At 42.6% G+C, this 18,142-nt stretch overlaps 1 protein-coding gene across 2 annotated transcripts in view, besides 1 other annotated feature; it reads left to right on the plus strand.

The window, feature by feature from the left end:
• PDK3 (pyruvate dehydrogenase kinase 3) overlaps positions 1 to 18,142 on the plus strand; it is an 85,181-nt gene that overhangs the window by 18,379 nt on the left and 48,660 nt on the right. For both annotated transcript variants that reach the window (NM_001142386.3, NM_005391.5), the window contains exons 2-3: positions 11,078 to 11,219; positions 15,165 to 15,236. In NM_001142386.3, coding sequence (NP_001135858.1) covers positions 11,078 to 11,219; positions 15,165 to 15,236 — 214 coding nt within the window. The remainder of the gene's footprint in view (positions 1 to 11,077; positions 11,220 to 15,164; positions 15,237 to 18,142) is intronic.
• Positions 7,570 to 8,533: an enhancer, noted in NCBI's record as "OCT4-NANOG-H3K27ac-H3K4me1 hESC enhancer chrX:24509351-24510314 (GRCh37/hg19 assembly coordinates)". NCBI's record gives its function as "activates a minimal SCP1, AML or CMV promoter by ChIP-STARR-seq in primed H9 embryonic stem cells {active_cell/tissue: H9 hESC(primed)}" and the evidence as "EXISTENCE:reporter gene assay evidence [ECO:0000049][PMID:30033119]".

Below are 18,142 nucleotides of genomic sequence, written 5' to 3' on the forward strand. Positions count from 1 at the left end.
TAACTAAACTTACTGGGTGTTTTAATTTTCAGTTGCGATCCGAGGTTTTTTTGTGTGTGTGTATGTGACACAGGCTCTCACTCTGTCACCTAGGCTGGAGTGCAGTGGCGCAATCTTGGCTCTCTGCAGCCTTGACCTCCTGGGCTCAAGCGATCCTTGCACCTCTCAGCCTCCGAGTACCTGGGACTACAGGTGCACACTGCCACATCCGGCTAATTTGTATATTTTTTGTAGAGACGGGGTTTCACCATATGGCCCAGGCTGGTCTCGAACTCCTGAGCTCAAGTGATCCTCCCGCCCCGGCCTACCACTGGGATTACAGGTGTGAGCCACCGCACCCAGCCAGGAAATTTTTTGTTGTTGTTGAGGCAAAGTCTCACTGTGTCGCCCAGGCTGGAGTGCAGTGGCACGATCTCGGCTCACTGCAACCTCCACCTCCCAGGTTCAAGCGATTTTCATGCCTCAGCCTCCCAAGTAGCTGGGACTACAGGCACGTGCCACCATAGCTGGCTAATTTGTTTGTATTTTTAGTAGAGATGGGGTTTCGCCATGTTGCCCAGGCTGATCTCGAACATCTGAGCTCAAGTGATCCTCCCACCTTGGCTTCCCACTGGGATTACAGGTGTGAGCCACCATGCCCAGCCAGGAAATATTTATTGAATACCTACAATGTACCAGGTATTGTACTAATGGACTCTTCAATCTTTTGAGGAATCATGATACAGGACATAGAACTCATAGAACTCAGTGACTGAGGCAGTGGCAGAGGGCATTGCCCAAGCACAGGGCACAACTTCTGGGCCCACAGAGAAATCCATTCACAGCTTGCTTTGGCTTTGTTATACAGAGCAGCAGTTTTCTCACTAGTCTGTGCAGATATATGTTTCAAAAGAGCAAACAAACAGGATTTCTAAAGAGAGGGGATCAAGGGACTACTACCTTAATTAAGAACTCTATCCCAATCACCTTCGTACCCCCTTTTCCTATCAGAAGAACAAAAATCATTACATGAAGGGTACCACGGGTGTCAGACCCCATTAGGAAGCTCTGCATATAGTAGCATATTTTGTATGAGATTTTTGTATTTTTTTAAAGAATAGAATAGTTCTAGTTATAGGAAGATTTTTATGAGTTACTTTGCCGTATTTGCTTTATTTTTCCCTCTCCATCCATCCCTATTCCTCTCTCTCTCTCTCTCTCTCACATACACATGCTTTATGCTTTTTTGCTGAACCATTTGAGAATAAATTGCAGACATCATGCCTCTTTACCCCTAGATACTTAAGTATGTATGTCCTCAGCTTAAGGGTATTCTCCTAATAACCATGATACAGTTATTACCCTTGGGGAATTTATCATTGATATAAAAATAAAATGGAACATCTAAATTTCCCTTAATGGGGCCAGGCGCTATGGCTCACACCTGTAATCCCAGCACTTTGAGAGGCTCAGGCTGGTGGATCACCTGAGGTCAGCAGTTCGAGACCAGCCTGGCCAACATGGTGAAACCCTGTGTCTACTAAAAATACAAAAATTAGCCAGGCGCGGTGGTGCACATCTGTAATCCCAGCTACTCGGGAGGCTGAAATAGGAGAATCTCTTGAACCTGGGAGGCGGAGGTTGCAGTGAGCTGGGATCGTGCCTCTGCACTCCAGCCTGGGCGACAGAGCAAGACTCCATCTCAAAAAAGTAAAACAAAAAAATAAATAAATAAATTTCTTGTAATGGCTGCCAGTTCCTATATTGGACAGTTCTCAGGTCTAGAACACTCTCAGAAGGCACTGTAGCAGAGGAGGGTGCTGAGCATAGTGCAGCAGAGCCCGGGGTGGGGGGATAGGGGACTCCTACCTCAGCAACGCAGCAGACCAGTAGCGGGCAGGAGTGGCAGGAAGGCTGGCTGGGTGCCAACAGGAGAATGAACTAAAAGTCTGCAGACAGAAGGGCCACCCTCTGTTCTGACCTCTAGAACATTAACAGCAGGCAGTTATCCCTATCGGCAAGGTAAAGGACAAAAGGGGGTTCTTCTCTAAAGACACTGATGGAACTATTTCAGGAGAATCAGGGAAGCTGGTGTGGTATTAGCGCCCACTGAAAAGCCCCAGTGTAATCAGGAATTCAGGGAGCTCTCTCCGCCAAGAGCCCCACAGGGCTCCCAGTCTTTAGCCTGCTTCCTTCCCAAACCTGACTGAACAACCAAAGATCACCACACGTCTGAGGGAAGCCTACAGCGAGAAAGAGACTAACAAAGACAGAAAAATGGACATTAACCCCCAAAAGAGACAAAATCTGACTGGCCATAAAAGAGTGCTTTAAAATATAATTTAGCAATAAATCATCTACAACCCCCCATTAACATCCCAGAGAAGATCGCATTTTCCAAAGATGGCCATGAGGATACTTTTCTACAGTGTGACCTTGGCACCCCTCTGTCAGGAGCAGGAGTCGAAATTTCCTTCTGGAGTCTGGGCAGGCCCTGGCTACTTAGCCTAATTGATTGTGGCAGACTAGGCCAGCTGTGTGACTTCTGAGCCTGGGTCATAAAAGGCCATGCGGCTGCTGTCTTTTCACTGAAGTGGTGGAAGGATCCAACTAGCCCGAAGCTGCCGTGATGTGAGGGAGCCCAGGAAGAGGCCACCCCAAGCTGCTCAGATGGGCAGTCCTAGTTGTGCAGTTGTCTGTCCCAAGCATCAGACTTAGGAGTGAAGGGGCCCTCGGATGTTTCCAGACCCAAGATCTAGTCACCCTGCAGCCTTCGGGTTTTCCCAGCTGAAGCCCAGATAAGCCATCCCTTCTGCGTGCTGTCTAAATTCCTGACTCACAGCATCTGTGAGTATCATAATATGGACTTTGGACTGAAAGAAGTCGTGTAATATCTAGATGTTTTGGGGCACTGAATTTGATAGGGAATAAAGTGTGCGTGAAATCCCCAGTATTTGGCTCTTTGTCTCTGAAGTTCTGACTCACTCTTTTTGTTTTTGTTTTTTTGAAATGGGGTGTCACTCTGTCACCTGGGCTGGAGTGCAGTGGCACAATCACAGCTCACTGCAGCCTCGACCTCCTGGCTCAAGCGATCCTCCTGCCTCAGTCTCCTAAGTAGCTGGAACTATAGTCACGCACCACCATGCCCAGATGATTTTTTATTTTTTTGTGGAGACTGGGTCTCCCTATGTTGCCTGGGCTGGTCTTGAACTCTTGGACTCAAGCAGTCCTCTTGCCTCAGCCTCCCAAAGTGCTGGGATTACAGGCATAATTGGCTCACTGTTATTAATAACCAAAACATGGTCTGGCCTAGAGTGGAGGCAGCCCCAAGTTTGGCAGATTCCAAATCTGCAGCCTATTTTGATCCTTCTTAAATTCAGAAATAAATGTTCTTGAACAAAGGAAAACTCTTAAGCTCTTAAGGCAGTGAGAAACTGCTCATGAAACAAAACAAACATTTTAAAAGTAGAAACTAAGTTTTTAAAAAAGTGATTCTTTGAAGGACATTCACAACCATTTGGTAGGTCTCCATTCACATGTCAGATTGTTTCTTCTGAAGGACTATTCAATTAATCATTGTTTAACCCTAGTAAATCAAAAAATTAATGACTTATTCTAAAATTCAGTGTTTTCAACAGATTGAAATCTTATAACTACAACTAGAGAAAAGAAGTTGAAGAGCTCACCTGCACACATGGACATAAACATGGGGACAACAGACACTGTAAACTACTAGACGGAGGGGGAAGTGGGCGCGGGTTGAAAAACTACCTATTGGGTACTGTGCACACTGCCTAGGTGCAACATACACATGGAACAAACCTGCGCATGTACCCCCTGTATCTGAAATAAAAGTTGAAAATTTTTTTTAAAAAGCTTAAAATAATATGTTCTCAGTTATATTTTACCAATTTAAACATGGCTAATGGGAAAAGTACATTGCCAACTCAGACATTTAGTTGGTGATATTAATCGAAAGCATTTAGTTGATGATATTAATAAAAATTATCAGAATGAGCTGGATCATTCTGTTGGGGTTTTTTGGTGCCTTGCGGGTAATTTTTCCATGTATTGCTCTTTATCTCATTATTGCCACTCCCAAACCACCCCCCAACCCCCACCAACTGCTAAAGCTGAACAATGGACAAAGAAAGCCTTCAAGTAATCCAGACAGAGGAGACTCTACATTTTAGGAGGCATGGTCTCTGTTGATTGAAGACAGTACAAAATATGTCCTCAGCCTCTGCTTTAATTAAAAGGTACTTACTATCAATCACTTGAACCTAGGAGGCGGAGGTGGCAGTGAGCCAAGATTGTGCCATTGCACTCCAGCCTGGGCAACAAGAGCAAAACTCCATCTCAAAAAAAAAAAAAAAAAAAAAAAAAAGACACTTATTATCAGGTGACTTGATTAATTGAAGAAATAATTATTTTTTCTGCCGCCTGTAAATTAGTCGAAAAGAGGATTAAAACGAAGCCAGGGTTATCAGCCACTATGTAAACCAGGTATAAAGAAATATGTCTGTGAGCTCCTGCTCTCAGGTGGCTAGCTAAACGCTCTTGGCTACCTCCTGGTCCCACCATAGGGAAGGCTCCCTGCATTACATTGAAAGTCATTTATATTTCTGTGTCTATTCACCCTAGGTCTTGGTGAATGTGAAGCTATATGGAACCTTTCTAGACAAAGCAAATCATACCTTTTGCAAATATAGTAATTGTCTCCAGCTTCCCAATAAAAGGACAAAGTATAAAAAACAAACAGAGGCCAGGCGCAGTGGCTCACGCCTGTAATCCTAGAACTTTGGGAAGCTGAGGCAGGCGGATCATCTGAGGTCAGGAGTTCGAGACCAACCTGGCCAACATGGTGAAACCCCGTCTCTACTAAAAATACAAAAATTAGCCGGGTGTGGTGGTGCATGCCTGTAATCCCAGCTACTCAGGAGGCTGAGGCAGGAGAATCGCTTGAACTCAGGAGGTGGAGGTTGCCGCCACTTGGTGAGCCAAGATTGCGCCACTGCACTCCAGCCTGGGCAACAGAGAGAGACTCTGTCTCAAAAACAAACAAACAAACCAGAAACAAAGGAGAATGAAAGGATCGTCAAACTTAGGAGAAAAACAGAAGAAATGCACATGAGTGTATTTGAGTCTAATGACCTGTTTGCATCCACTAAGTCAGAGTTTTCCAAGCCCCCTCACCTGCTCCCTTTGTCATCTTTGAACTGATACCAGGGAAAAACTTAATTGGTAAATTTGAATAAGATGAAGTATATTGAGAAATGCAGAATAAAAATAGAAAGTCAAAATTAAGGAATGTAGAGAAGCCAAGTAAGTAGGGAAAAAATGAAGTCAAATAATTGGAAAGCAGAACTGGAAAATACACAATATACCAGAAGACTTATCAAAACAGAACCCTCTGGCGAGGACATTCATTTAAAACCAAAATGTTTTTCTTGGTAAGTTTATTATTTAAAAAAAAATGGTTGTTAGAACCTTTTCATTTAAACTGAGTATCCGGCATTAATACATAGGAAAGATACTTTCAATGTACGTGAAGAAAGCACAGAAAGGTTATAAAAATCAGGCATTTCATACTTATTTTTAGGCTAACTAATTAACTAAAAAAGACTTATCCTCCTATTTAAGCTGATATATAATTAAGGTGTCTGAGTACAAAGAATTTGTCCCTAAACCTAATGTAGAATGTAAGAGACAAAACCTGAAATTTTCCAACTACTCTTTTTAAAAAATACGAACTTCTGGACTGAGTGTGGTGGCTCATGCCTGTCATCCCAGCACTTTGGGAGGCTGAGGCGGGCAGGTCACTTAAGGTCAGGAGTTGGAGACCAGCTAGTCCAACATGGTGAAACCTCATCTCTACTAAAAATACAAAAATTAGCTGGGCGTGGTGATGGGCACCTGTAATCCCAGCTACTCAGGAGGCTGAGGCAGGAGAATCGTTTGAACCCAGGAGGCGTAGGTTGCAGTGAGCCGAGATCACACCACTGCACTTCAGCCTGGGCAACAGAGTGGGACTCTGTCTCAAAAAAAAAAAAAAAAAAGAAAAAAAAAGAAATCAACAACAAACAAAGAAAAAAACAAACTTCTGAAAGCATTATCTATTATTTGAAAAAATCATTGAGAAGCTACCATAGGCGAGGCACTATAATATGTGCTATGGGGGATAGAGAGACAGATAAAAGTTTCTTTCCACATGAGTTTTATAACAGGCTGATAATCCAAGGAAGCTTGAAGAAAATGCTTCCTGAAATTTGGTTCTCTTAGACCATGCCTAGTAGTTGAGTTTTAACTATTGCAGAATCATCAGATGAGCCCAGGGAATGGGTTCTCAGGGCTGACCAAGCAGTAACTGACAGTTCGATTGTGTATCCCATGGCCTCAGACTATTCTGTTTGAGCATCATCAGCGTCATTAGTGATTGCTATTTAATTAGCCCCTCTTCTAAGTTTTAAGAATATGTGACTGTTAAATATTGTGGTTTATTAAGTTTTTATTTATAGAGATGGGGGTCTTGCCACATTGCCCAGGCTGGTCTCGAACTCCTGGCCTCACATGATCTTCCCATCTCAGCCTCCCAAGTAGCTAGGATTACGGGCGTGAGCCACTGCCTCTGGTTTAAATGTTAAGCACATGTTAACCCTCACCAAATCTCTGTGAAGTAGATACTGCTCTTTTTTTATAGGTGGTTACAATGAAGTTTAGAAGTGTAAAGAAACTTACCCCTGCTCATGAAGCTTGTGAATGCTCTAGTCAAGATTCAAACCCTGACCTTTGTCATCGAACTTCAGCACCTGACCTTTGTCATCAACGCCCCGCAGGACCATAAGCTTTTCTCTGAATCCTGAACTCAAAAAACTCTGAAAATTGAATTTCTTTTTCATATATTTGCTGCCACAACTCATTTTGTGGCAAAACCAGACCTGAACTGACTTGATTCCATAGTCCTTATCCTACTTACTGGAAATGTTCACGTATTTCACTGCAGCTATGTTGTGGCTCTCTAATACTCTGTATTGTACAATGTATGGTATAGACTCCTTTTTACCTTCCTAAAATTGAAAAACCTTTAAATTCTGAAACCATCTAGATCTGCAACTTCTAGAGAAGAGATGAGAAGCTGACTATGGCCACCTCACACCTGCCAGCCAGCTCTCACTGCTCACAACATGCTCGTATCCTGTGACTCCTAACAGGCTGCCAACTTGGAAATTTAAACATGTATACTTTCATTACCCTCAAAAACTCATAATTGTGAAAAAATTATTAGTTCATACTGATACTACCAGTTTCAGTTTAACACCAGAATTCTTCTACTTCTTCCCTATTCCAGAACTTCCTTTTTCCTCTTAAAGAAAAAAAAAAACTGGCTAGACATGGTTGGTGGCTCACACCTGTAATCCCAACAGTTTGGGAGGCCGAGGTGGGCGGATCACCTGAGGTCAGGAGTTCAAGACCAGCCTGGCCAACATGGTGAAACCCTATCTCTTTGTAAAAATACAAAAATTAGCCGGGCATGGTGGCGGATGCCTTTAATCCCAGCTACTCCAGAGGCTGAGGCAGGGAGAATTGCTTGAACTCGGGAGGTGGAGGTTGGGTGACAGAGCGAGACCCTGTCTCAAAAAAAAAAAAAAAGAAAAAAGAAAAAAAAATTATCTGATACTTGTTAAAGATGGTAGGGAAGGCTTTATTCAAGAGGGACCACTACAGTGGGAGTTTTGCAATAGTGGGGAGAGATCAGGTTGAACTCCTAATGCAACAAGGACAAGTGGAAATTTATAGCCAAGGAGCAGAGTGTGGGTCAATGGGTGGAAAGTTACTAAGAGGAAAAATCCAGGTTGGAGGGGATTCTTGTTGAAGGCAGGCCAGCATGATAAGATATCGAGGGTAGGGGGATCAGACACCAAGGGTAGGGGATTTTCACTAAAATGACTCAGCAGGATTTTTGCTGAGACTGGACTAAGCAGGTCAAGATAGAACCCAAAGTCGAGGCCTAGTCAGAAAGAGGACTCAGAGCCGGGCACGGTGGCTCATGCCTGTAATCCCAGCACTTTGGGAGGCTGAGACGGGAGGATCGCTTGAGCCCAGGAGTTCGAGACCAGCCTGGGCAACATGGCGAAACCCCCTCTTTACTAAAAATACAAAAATTAGCCAGCTGTCCCACCTACCTGGGAGGCTGAGGTGGCAGGATCACTTGAGCCCAGGAGGTTGAGGTGGTAGTAAACCGTGATTGTACCACTGCACTGCAGCCTGGGTGACAGAGTGAGACCCTGTCTCCAAAAGCAAACAAACCCAGAAGAACCGGTTTCAAGTTTGGTCAAAGGAGAGAGTCTTTGTCATCCCACAGTGAGAACATCAATGTTTCTTTTGTGATTTAAAGATAATTTCCTTTCTGTTTAGCCAGGATGCAAAGTATTTTTCCTGGCATGTGAAAAGCTAGACTTTTATTTTAACTTAGATAATAGGGAATTCATTTTATAATGAGATTCACTGTGATAAATATCAGCAATTTTATTGCATTTAAAATTAAAATTATATTCATCCAGAACCTTTTAGGAATAATATACAGATGCTCCTTGACTTACAGTGGGGTTACATCCTGATGAATCCATCATAAGTCGAAAATATTGTAACTCAAAAATGCACTTGGCCAGGCACAGTGGCTCATGCCTGTAATGCCAGCACTTTGGGAGGCCAAGGTGGGTGGATCACTTGAGGTCAGGAGTTCGAGACCAGCCTGGCCAACATGATGAAACCCTATCTCTACTGAAAACACAAAAATTAGCCAAGCATTGTGACGGGCGCCTGTAATCCCAGCTACTCGGGAGGCTGAGGCACGAGAGCCGCTTGAACCTGGGGGGTGGAGGTTGCAGTAAGCGGAGATCATGCCACTGCACTCCAGCCTGGGTGACAGTGAGATTCTGTCTCAAAACAAAAAAGCCCTTAATAATTAGATAAACCCATCATAAAGTGAGAAGATTAAACAATCAAAAAATCATAAGTTGAACTGTTTTAAGTTGGGGACTGTCTCTATATTATTTGAAGCAAAATGACCAGAGCTGGCTGGGCGCGGTGGCTCATGCCTGTAATCCCAGCACTTTGGGAGGCCGAGGCGGGTGGATCACGAGTCAGGAGATGGAGACCATCCTGGCTAACACAGTGAAACCCCGTCTCTACTAAAAATACGAAAAATTAGCCAGGCGTGGTGGTGGGTGCCTGTAGTCCCAGCTACTTGGGAGGCCGAGGCAGGAGAATCACTTGAACCCAGGAGGCGGAGGTTGCAGTGAGTCGAGATCATGCCATTGCACTCCAGCCTGGGCGACAGAGCAACACTCCGTCAAAAAAAAAAAAAAAATGACCAGAGTCATTTTAAATGTTAATTGCCTAAGGCCAAATGAATGTGTATAGAATAGATGTTGGAAGGTCATTGTGGGGGCATTACACCCCTTCTCCTCTTACTTGAAGTGGGTATTTGGGGATTGAGGTACTTATCACAGTGAAAGTATGAAGGAGAAAAGTGAATCATCATTTAGTTAAAAGATTTACCAAAGGCCTTCAATATACTCACTTAGGATGAGGGAAATGAGGGATGGATTATTTCAGACTTTCATCTTTTATTGTAACTTTTTTGAGAATGGAGAAGGGGGTCAGGGATGAGTGGGGAAGAAAGGTTCTGCAGATTACTTTCTAGATTAGGTTCTTTTTTTCAAGTTTTATTTGGTAGGGAGAGCAAATGAATAAACCAGAATATGACTGGAAGTGTTAGAAAATTGGATTCACTTCTGAATCTCTGACTTGCTGCCTTCATGACGTACAGAAGAATAAGGAGAGTTTGGAAGAGAAAATTGTTAAATGGCTCTGCTCGTCTCTCTCTGGGCCTGGCCATGATGTTGCCCATTTCTGTGCAGCCTCCAGGGAATATGGAGCAGCAAAGAGGCCTAGGCAGGGCGAGGGAGATGGGATGGACCCCTCAATACCACGGAGACCGGAAGGACCAGTGTTTGTCCAACACTTGCTCCGTGTCAGCCTCCATGCACAGTATCACATTTAGTCCTTACACAAACTAGTTTTATCCCCATTTTACAGATTAAGGCAGCTGAGACTCAGAAGTGAAGAAGCTTACCAAAGGTTTCACAACCTGCAAATGGAGGAGTTGGGGCTGGAGAACATTTCTGTCTCCAAAGCTCATGCCTTTTCTATCAGGCCCTCCACTCCCAGCCACCATGGAGTTTCCAGCAGGGCTGGGGGTTGCAGGCCAGGCTGATGCTAGAACTCTTCCTGCCACATGACAGCAGGGGAAAGAGCTCAGGTTTCCTCTTTTAAGTGGCCAGGTATGTTTCCTCTCATGGCGTCTTGTTTATGTAAATTTTATGCACAGCTAGCTCAGGGAAGCCTCCAGAAGGCACTGACCTCCTTCCTTATGGTCAACCCACATCTTACCCTCTCCGATGTGGCATGGTAGATCACTCTGCCTCTGAGTATACCCAGGAGATAGTTTCTCTGGCATGTTTCTCTGGCACATGCCAACCCTGTGTCTCAGTCAGAGCCCCTCCTCTGGAAGCACAGGGTCTCTGGGGTCTGTGGCTACTTCCCAGAGGGGCAGAGCTATGGTCCCTGAAGAAACACACTGGAGGAAAATCTTAGGAAACAGTTGGCACACACAGTAGGTAAATAATTGTGAAATGAATGGATCCGTTGCCTCCTGGAAAGCCCTATGAATGGGAGTGGATTTACACGTTCTGTTACCTTTGTACTTGGCAGTTTTCCCATGGTGTTTATTTGAAAACAAGTTCAGATTATATCCCAGGTCACTTTTGTATTGCCGCTGGTAACACTAGGAACGTTTTTGTGTTAAGAAAAAAAAACTGCTTTCAAAGTTGCCTCTTGTAATGAATGTTCTTTTTCTCTGCTAATTAACTTATTTTCTTGAACTTGCTATTTCAAAGGATAAAAATTCAACTAGAGACTGCAGGATTATTTAATTTTCTCTTTCCAACCAGTAGTAACCGTGCTACCGTGGGAGCACTTTATTTCTCCATCTGTTAGACTATAAAATCATGGAACATTTTTCATGTCTTAATAGGGAGAGATAATGCATGTGAGAAAACTTCATATATGTTTCTACGAAAGGAACTTCCTGTGCGGCTGGCTAACACAATGAGAGAAGTTAATCTTCTGCCGGATAATTTACTTAACCGCCCTTCAGTGGGATTGGTTCAGAGTTGGTAAGTAAACAATGTGGCTTAAAATGGATCTTCCCACAATGCTGTGAACATTTGGCAGCGAGACCATTCTCTGTAAAAGTGCACATACTGCCCGTCTAGGTAGGAATGAGTCATTTGGGATAGCTGGGTTTTCCATGCAATTAAAAGTTGTTTTGTTTTTTTTCTTTTAGAGCTGTTTGTTTTAAAGTTGTTTTAGTGAAAATGCTTGTTAAGTTATACTAGACACTTTCCTGAGTTTTTCTTGTGTGTGGTGGGATTGCAGTTCTTCTGACAGGATATTTGCTGCTTTTATCAAGTCTTAACCTTACTCCTTTCGTTTTCCTTGTAAAGACATTCCTTGAAGTCAGTACTTCTTGTAGAACAAATTAAGTCATTTAAAGGGGAACCTCAGATTGGAAAAATATCAGTTCCCTCCTTTGCTTCATTTGCTCCATGAAAAGTAGGAAAAATTTTGACAGAGTATAACATAAACTTAAATCAGTTATAGCTCTGATGCTTAAAGCATATGTCATTTAACTGAAGAAGTTGAATTTGTGACACAAAGTCCTGGGCCACCCGTGCTTTTGACTGAGTGGCTAGACATTGAGTTTCCATGCCCCTTTTCTCAGATTTGATAATTTGCTAGAACGGCTCACAGAACTCAGGAAGATACTTCACCTATGTTTATAGGTTTATTAGAAAGGGTACAATTCAGGAACAGCCACATGGGAGAGATGCATAGGGCAAGGTATGGGGGGACACATGGAGCTTCCATGCCCACTCTGGGCACACCACCCTCCCAGTACCCCCATATGTTCACCAACCTGGAGACTCTCTGATGGTCGTTCAAGGGTTTTGATAGAGCTCAATCTCCAGCCCTCTCCCCTCCCCAGAGGTTGAGGGTAGAGCTGAAAGTTGCAGTCCTCGAATCACTTGGCCTTTCTGGTGACCAGCCCCATCCTGAGGCTATCTAGAGGTCCCGTCCTAAGTCACCACATTAGCATAAACTCAGGTGTGGTCAAAGGCGGCTCCTTATGGATAGCAGAAGACAATCCTATCATTCAGGTAGTTCCAAGGGTTTTGGGAGCTCTGTCCAGGAAGCAGGGACAAAGACCAAATGTACTTAAATGTGTTATATTATTCCGGCAAAGTATAGGCTTGAACAAATTGCTATGTCAACTCTATTGTTTGGTTTTTGTCTTTTAACTGTTCCTTTTCCGTATCCATTCCAAACAAATGCATGCCATTTCTTCCTTCTTGTTTCTTAAACATTCTATTTTGAAATACTTTCCTACTTAACAGAAGGGTTGTAAAACTGGTAGAAAGAATTCCAGTATACCTTCACGTAGATTCACTAATTGTTAACATTGTTAACATTTGGCAACGTTCTACCATTGTCATTCAGATTCTCTCTCTCTGTCTCACTCTCTGCATACACACACACACACACACACACACGTGCGTGCACACATATATATAATCTATGTCTATATATGGTACACACACCCATATATGGTACACATACACGATGTCTACATCATGCCCCTTTGCCCTAAATACTTTAGCATGTATTTCATTGGAACAGGTCTCAGAAAACCACAATGTGATCATCAAATTTGGGAAATTTAACATTGATACAGTAATGTCTTCTAATATGTAGAACTTGTTCTCACTTTACTACTAATTGTCCTGATACTACCCCCATCTTTTTTTTTTTTTTTTTTTTTTTGCAGTTTCTCCTCCTGATTTAGGAATCCACTTCAGGATCATGCATTGTGTTTCACTGCCATTTTTTCCTTTTAAAAGCGAATCTTATGCATAATGGGCTGTGACCCCCACCACCATCCCCTTGGTCACAGTGTGTCCTCCTTGCTCTCTTGACTGTCAGGCTGGGAACCTCAAAATAATCTTTTTTTTTTTTTTTTTTTTTTTTTTTTGAGACAGAGTCTCTCTCTGTTGCCGAGGCTGGAGTGCAGTGGCGGGATCTCAGCTCACTGCAAGCTCCGCCTCCTGGGTTCATGCCATTCTCCTGTCTCAACCTCCCAAGTAGCTGGGACTACAGGCGCCCGCCACCATGCCCTGCTAATTTTTGTATTTTTAGTAAAGACGGGGTTTCACTGTGTTAGCCAGGTTGGTCTCGATCTCCTGACCTTGTGATCCGCCTGCCTCGGCCTCTCAAAGTGCTGGGATTACAGGTGTGAGCCACCGCACCTGGCCCAGAATAATCTTTGGCTCCCTGCTATTTATGACTTTCTCCAACTGTCCCCTTTGGAAAGGACGGGATGCCTACCTAGCTTGCTTGCATGTGGCAGGGCGGAGGGCATCACTGGGGCTGGCTGGCTTTGACCTCTTGGCGTTTTGACCCAATGATTTTAACAATATCTAATCCATAGCCTTATATGCCCAGAGACTTTTATTTATTTATTTTATTTATTTTTTTGAGATGGAGTCTTGCTCAGTCGCCCAGGCTGGAATGCAGTGGCACAACCTCGGCTCACTGCAACTTCTGCCTCCTGGGTTCAAGCGATTCTCCTGCCTCAGCCTCCCGAGTAGCTAGGACTACAGGCATGTGCCACCACGCCCAGCTAATTTTTTGTATTTTTAGTAGAGACGGGGTTTCGCCATGTTGGCCAGGCTGGTCTTGAACTCCTGGCCTCAAGTAATCCACTCGCCTCAGCCTCCCGAAGTGCTGGGATTACAGGCGTGAGCTAACACGCCCAGCCCCCAGAGACTTTTAAAAAGTATGTCCATCAATGAACATTCATTAGTATCAAATGCATTGTCCAAAGTTCACATGAAGCTGATGAATCAAGTGGCATTCTCATTGGAGTATTTATATGTGTAACAGTCATTTTTAGTTACTAGAGTGTCCTCATCCTCTATCCAAAGGTGTAGATAATAGGATTAGTGGCAATTAAAGCTTAGAAATAATTAGAATAAAGGGATAATTCTTTCAGGACATGTTAAAACCCCAAATAGAGATCACATATCTCTAATTGGAATATCTGAATCCCCACCAGATCCAACAGATCCTGGCTGGATATAGCTGCTGCACTAATGGGCCTCTCTGGATCTCATTTTTCTGTGTTCTCCAGATTTTAATGTTGGACAGACTGTTTCTTATACTGGCCCTGATTGAGATATGGAGCTATTCTTAATCCAGAAGCTGTTTCTGAGGGTTTAATTGGCCTTCTTTCTCCCCCATTAAGTACTGATGAAATTAATTTAACTCAGAAGGACCCTTCTTCACTTCTAGTTTCTAAGTTCTTGGCAGGCACTTCAGTGTCACACATGTGTTTCTTAAAATGTATAAGTACATTTTTGGTAATCAAACTGTAGACTTGGTATATAAGTTAGGATATGTCTGTTTGTAAGTAGAAAAAATGCAACCGAACCTGGCTCATGTCACTAGAAGGTCCAGCCGTAGGGTGAGCTTTTGGTGTTGGTTTGATTCAGAGATTCATGAAGCTATCGAGGCCCTGCTTTCGATGGTGCTGGCTTCATTTTCAGACTGGATTCCCCCCTGGTGGCAGAATAGCTGCAGCAGTTCCAGGCTTCCAATCCACACAGCACTGCACAAAAGCAGAGCAGGTTGATTTCTCTGCCAAAGTCCTCTAGCGAGTCTTTTCTGTCATTTTACTGGCCTGAATTGAGACAGTATGTCCATTCCTGAGCCATTCCCTGTGTTCAGGGGAATGCACACAGTGATAGGCTTAGACCTAAACTATTGGGCTAATGAATAATTAGTGACAAGAGAAATAGAATTGCCCAGAGAAAAATGGGACCACCCAGGATCTTTGGAGGCACTGGCTTCCCTGATGCACTTAAGCCACATGGGGGATGCGGATGGGATGGAGACCTGAGTGAAATTTTGGAGTGTTCTTAGGAAGAGGGAGAGGAGGGGTGGATGCTGGGCAGGCAACTAACATAGTAACTCTTCTTTTTCTTTTTTTTTTTTCCTTTTAGGTATATGCAGAGTTTTCTTGAACTTTTAGAATATGAAAATAAGAGCCCTGAGGATCCACAGGTCTTGGATAAGTAAGTATGGTACCACTTAGCTGAAAGTAAAAATATCTAGGTAAGAAAGATTTTGGTAAATGTAATTCAAGTCATTAAGACTCAAGGAGTATGAATGTGGACAAAAGCGTTCATTTTCTTAATGAGTAGTGACTCAACATTGAGTTTTTTTTTTTTAATTCGAGCTAAGAATGTAACACAATACAAAAGTAATAATGACACTTTCAGTTTTGCTTTTATGATCTAATACTTAATACCTTTACCCAAGGTGAACTGGGCAGTCACTATAAACACTGCAGTAAATGTTCCATCTAGTGGTAGTTTTAAGAATGCAGTGGCCTTTTTATATACATGAATTTATCTACTCAATCCTTTACAATTAAAAAAAAAATTTCAATAGGATATTACATTTGAGCTCAAAAACTGTAGTGGTTTTATTTTGGAGAGGCATAAAAGTATGTTTTTTTATATAGCAACCTGAATTCTATTGCTCCCTTTATGCACAGACTGGCAAATTATCATGCTGATGAGATTCATTTTTATTTATCCCAGGAACACTAACTCTAGCTGTGAGTATGTTTTCCCCTCCAAGAGAAATTAAATATCCCTTTCACATTAATTTCTTCCTGTTTCATGTATATGTAAGTGGATGCATATGGTAGGCCTGTTGTGCTGAGAAATTTCTAAGTATAAACTAGTCCACATAGTTATGAGACTGAACACCTGACTTAATAGATGTTCCATAAGAAGAACTAGGGAAACACCATGTTATACAAGCAACCTTAGGAGGTATTTAACCCAGTCCTCTCAATCCACAGATAAGGAAACTGAGTTCAGAGATGTGAAGTGACTTGCCCAAGATTGTGACCGTTCATAGCAAAGCTGGACCTATAAGCTATGTTTACGTCTGAGCCATGAGTAGCTAGTTCTAGTCTAGTTGTAAACTAAAATTCAAAGGAAAAACAAAAGCCCTCACCTATTTTATACTTTGTTGGGTGTTTGTCTGATGGATCTGTGAAGTGTGGAAGGCAGGGAAGCATTGGGTTAGAGCCCCAGATGTAGCGTTTTCCTTGATATAAGCCACTGCTGTCATTTAAGCGATTATTAAATGAATTCAATCCAGGAGCTTTGTTTTCTCAAAAGTCATTAGCTGGTAACCGTTTGGCAGAAATCCTAAAACCTAGGGCTGACCACTGTAGCTCCAAATTTTAGAACAAATTTGTAGAAGTATAGTTGGTCCTTTGTACTGGCAGTTTCCACATCCTTGGATTCAACCAGCCACAGATTGAAAAGATATTCAGGAAAAAAAAAAGCAATAAAAAATAACAATGCAACAATAAGAAATAATACAAAATTTTAAAATACAGTCTATCAACTGTTTACATAGCATTTACATTGTATCAGGTATTATAACTAGTCTAGAGATGATTTAAAGTATCCGAGAGGATGTGAGTAGGCTGTATGCACTATTTTAGATAAGGGACTTGAGCATCTGAGGATTTGGGTATCTGCGGGGATCCTGGAACCAGTCCCCTGCGGATACTGAGAGACGACTATACACGATGTTAAATTTCTGCTGTGTTTTTCCCGGAGTCCCGTCTCAGTTTCTGGAACAGGTTATCCGATGTGATTTATGGCCACGAGCCTGCTTTGCAAACTGTCAGTGCTGAATCCAGTGTGTGCTTGACGATAGCAATAATAGCTGAGCTCTCACTCCGTGAGTTTTGTAGCTTGCCTAGGTTCATGTGGTTAGTTATGATAGTTGGCATTTGAGAAGGCTGATGTTCTTGGTGAAGGAAGGAGTGAAAGGTGAGCGAGTATCATGGTAGCAGCCTTTTCTGTTTACCAAGAGGTTGTATGGGATCACCAGCAGGGAAATCATTTTAGTAAAGCAAAAGTAGCTTAGAGGACAAGCTTGTTGATCATTTATGATAGAGTTTAGAAGAGCCCGGAAGATTGGAGGAGAATTCTGAGCATTGAGCCATTGAGGTAAGTCTCCCCACTTCAGATAAGTTGAGGCACTTCTCTACTATAATGAATCGTTTCACTTTAGTAATATTTAACTTACAAATACATTGCAACGAGTATTACATAAAGGACAAATTGTCTATTATAAAATTTTTTGTGAATGACGATGGCCTAATTTCAGAGTTTTACATCTTTATTGTCATTGTACGTATGTATTTGTTACAGAAATATTTCGTCAAATATTTCATCAAATATTTCAGAAAAATAAGACTATTGAGATAAGTAAAAAGAAAGTCACCCCAAATTTCTACTACCAGGGGACAACCACTATTACTATTTTCCTTTCTTCCGTGCTTTTCCCTAGGCATGCATATATTTATATGCGTAAAATATTTTTACAAACATAACAAGTGTCAACATTATAGATCTACACCATTATTAATAGTTTCATAATATTCATGTTAATAGTCCATCTTCAGATAGTTCATGCAATTTGATCTTCTATCACTGGATTTTAGACTGGTTTGTAGTTTTCATGCTACTATAAACAATGCTTTAAAGAACAGCTTTTAAATACATCTGTTGGCCGGGCATGGTGGCCGACGCCTGTAATCCCAGCACTTTGGGAGGCCAAGGCGGGCGGATCACCTGAGGCCAGGAGTTCGAGACCAGCCTGGGCAACATGGTGAAACCCTGTCTCTACTAAAAATATGAAAATTAGCCAGGCGTGGTGGTGGGCACCTGTAATCCCAGGTACTTTGGGAGGCTGCAGGAGAATTGCCTAAACGCGGGAGGCAGAGGTTGCAGTGAGTCAAGATTGTGCCACTGCACTCTAGCCTGGGCAACAGAGCAAGACTCTGTCTCATAAATAAATAAACAAACAAACAAACAGCTGTTCACCTTTTCCAGTTATTTTCCTAGGATCAATTCCTCCAAGTGGAATTATTTTCTTTGGGCTT

This window comes from Homo sapiens, chromosome X, assembly GCF_000001405.40.
Source record: "Homo sapiens chromosome X, GRCh38.p14 Primary Assembly".
NCBI classification, from domain to species: Eukaryota; Metazoa; Chordata; class Mammalia; order Primates; family Hominidae; genus Homo; species Homo sapiens.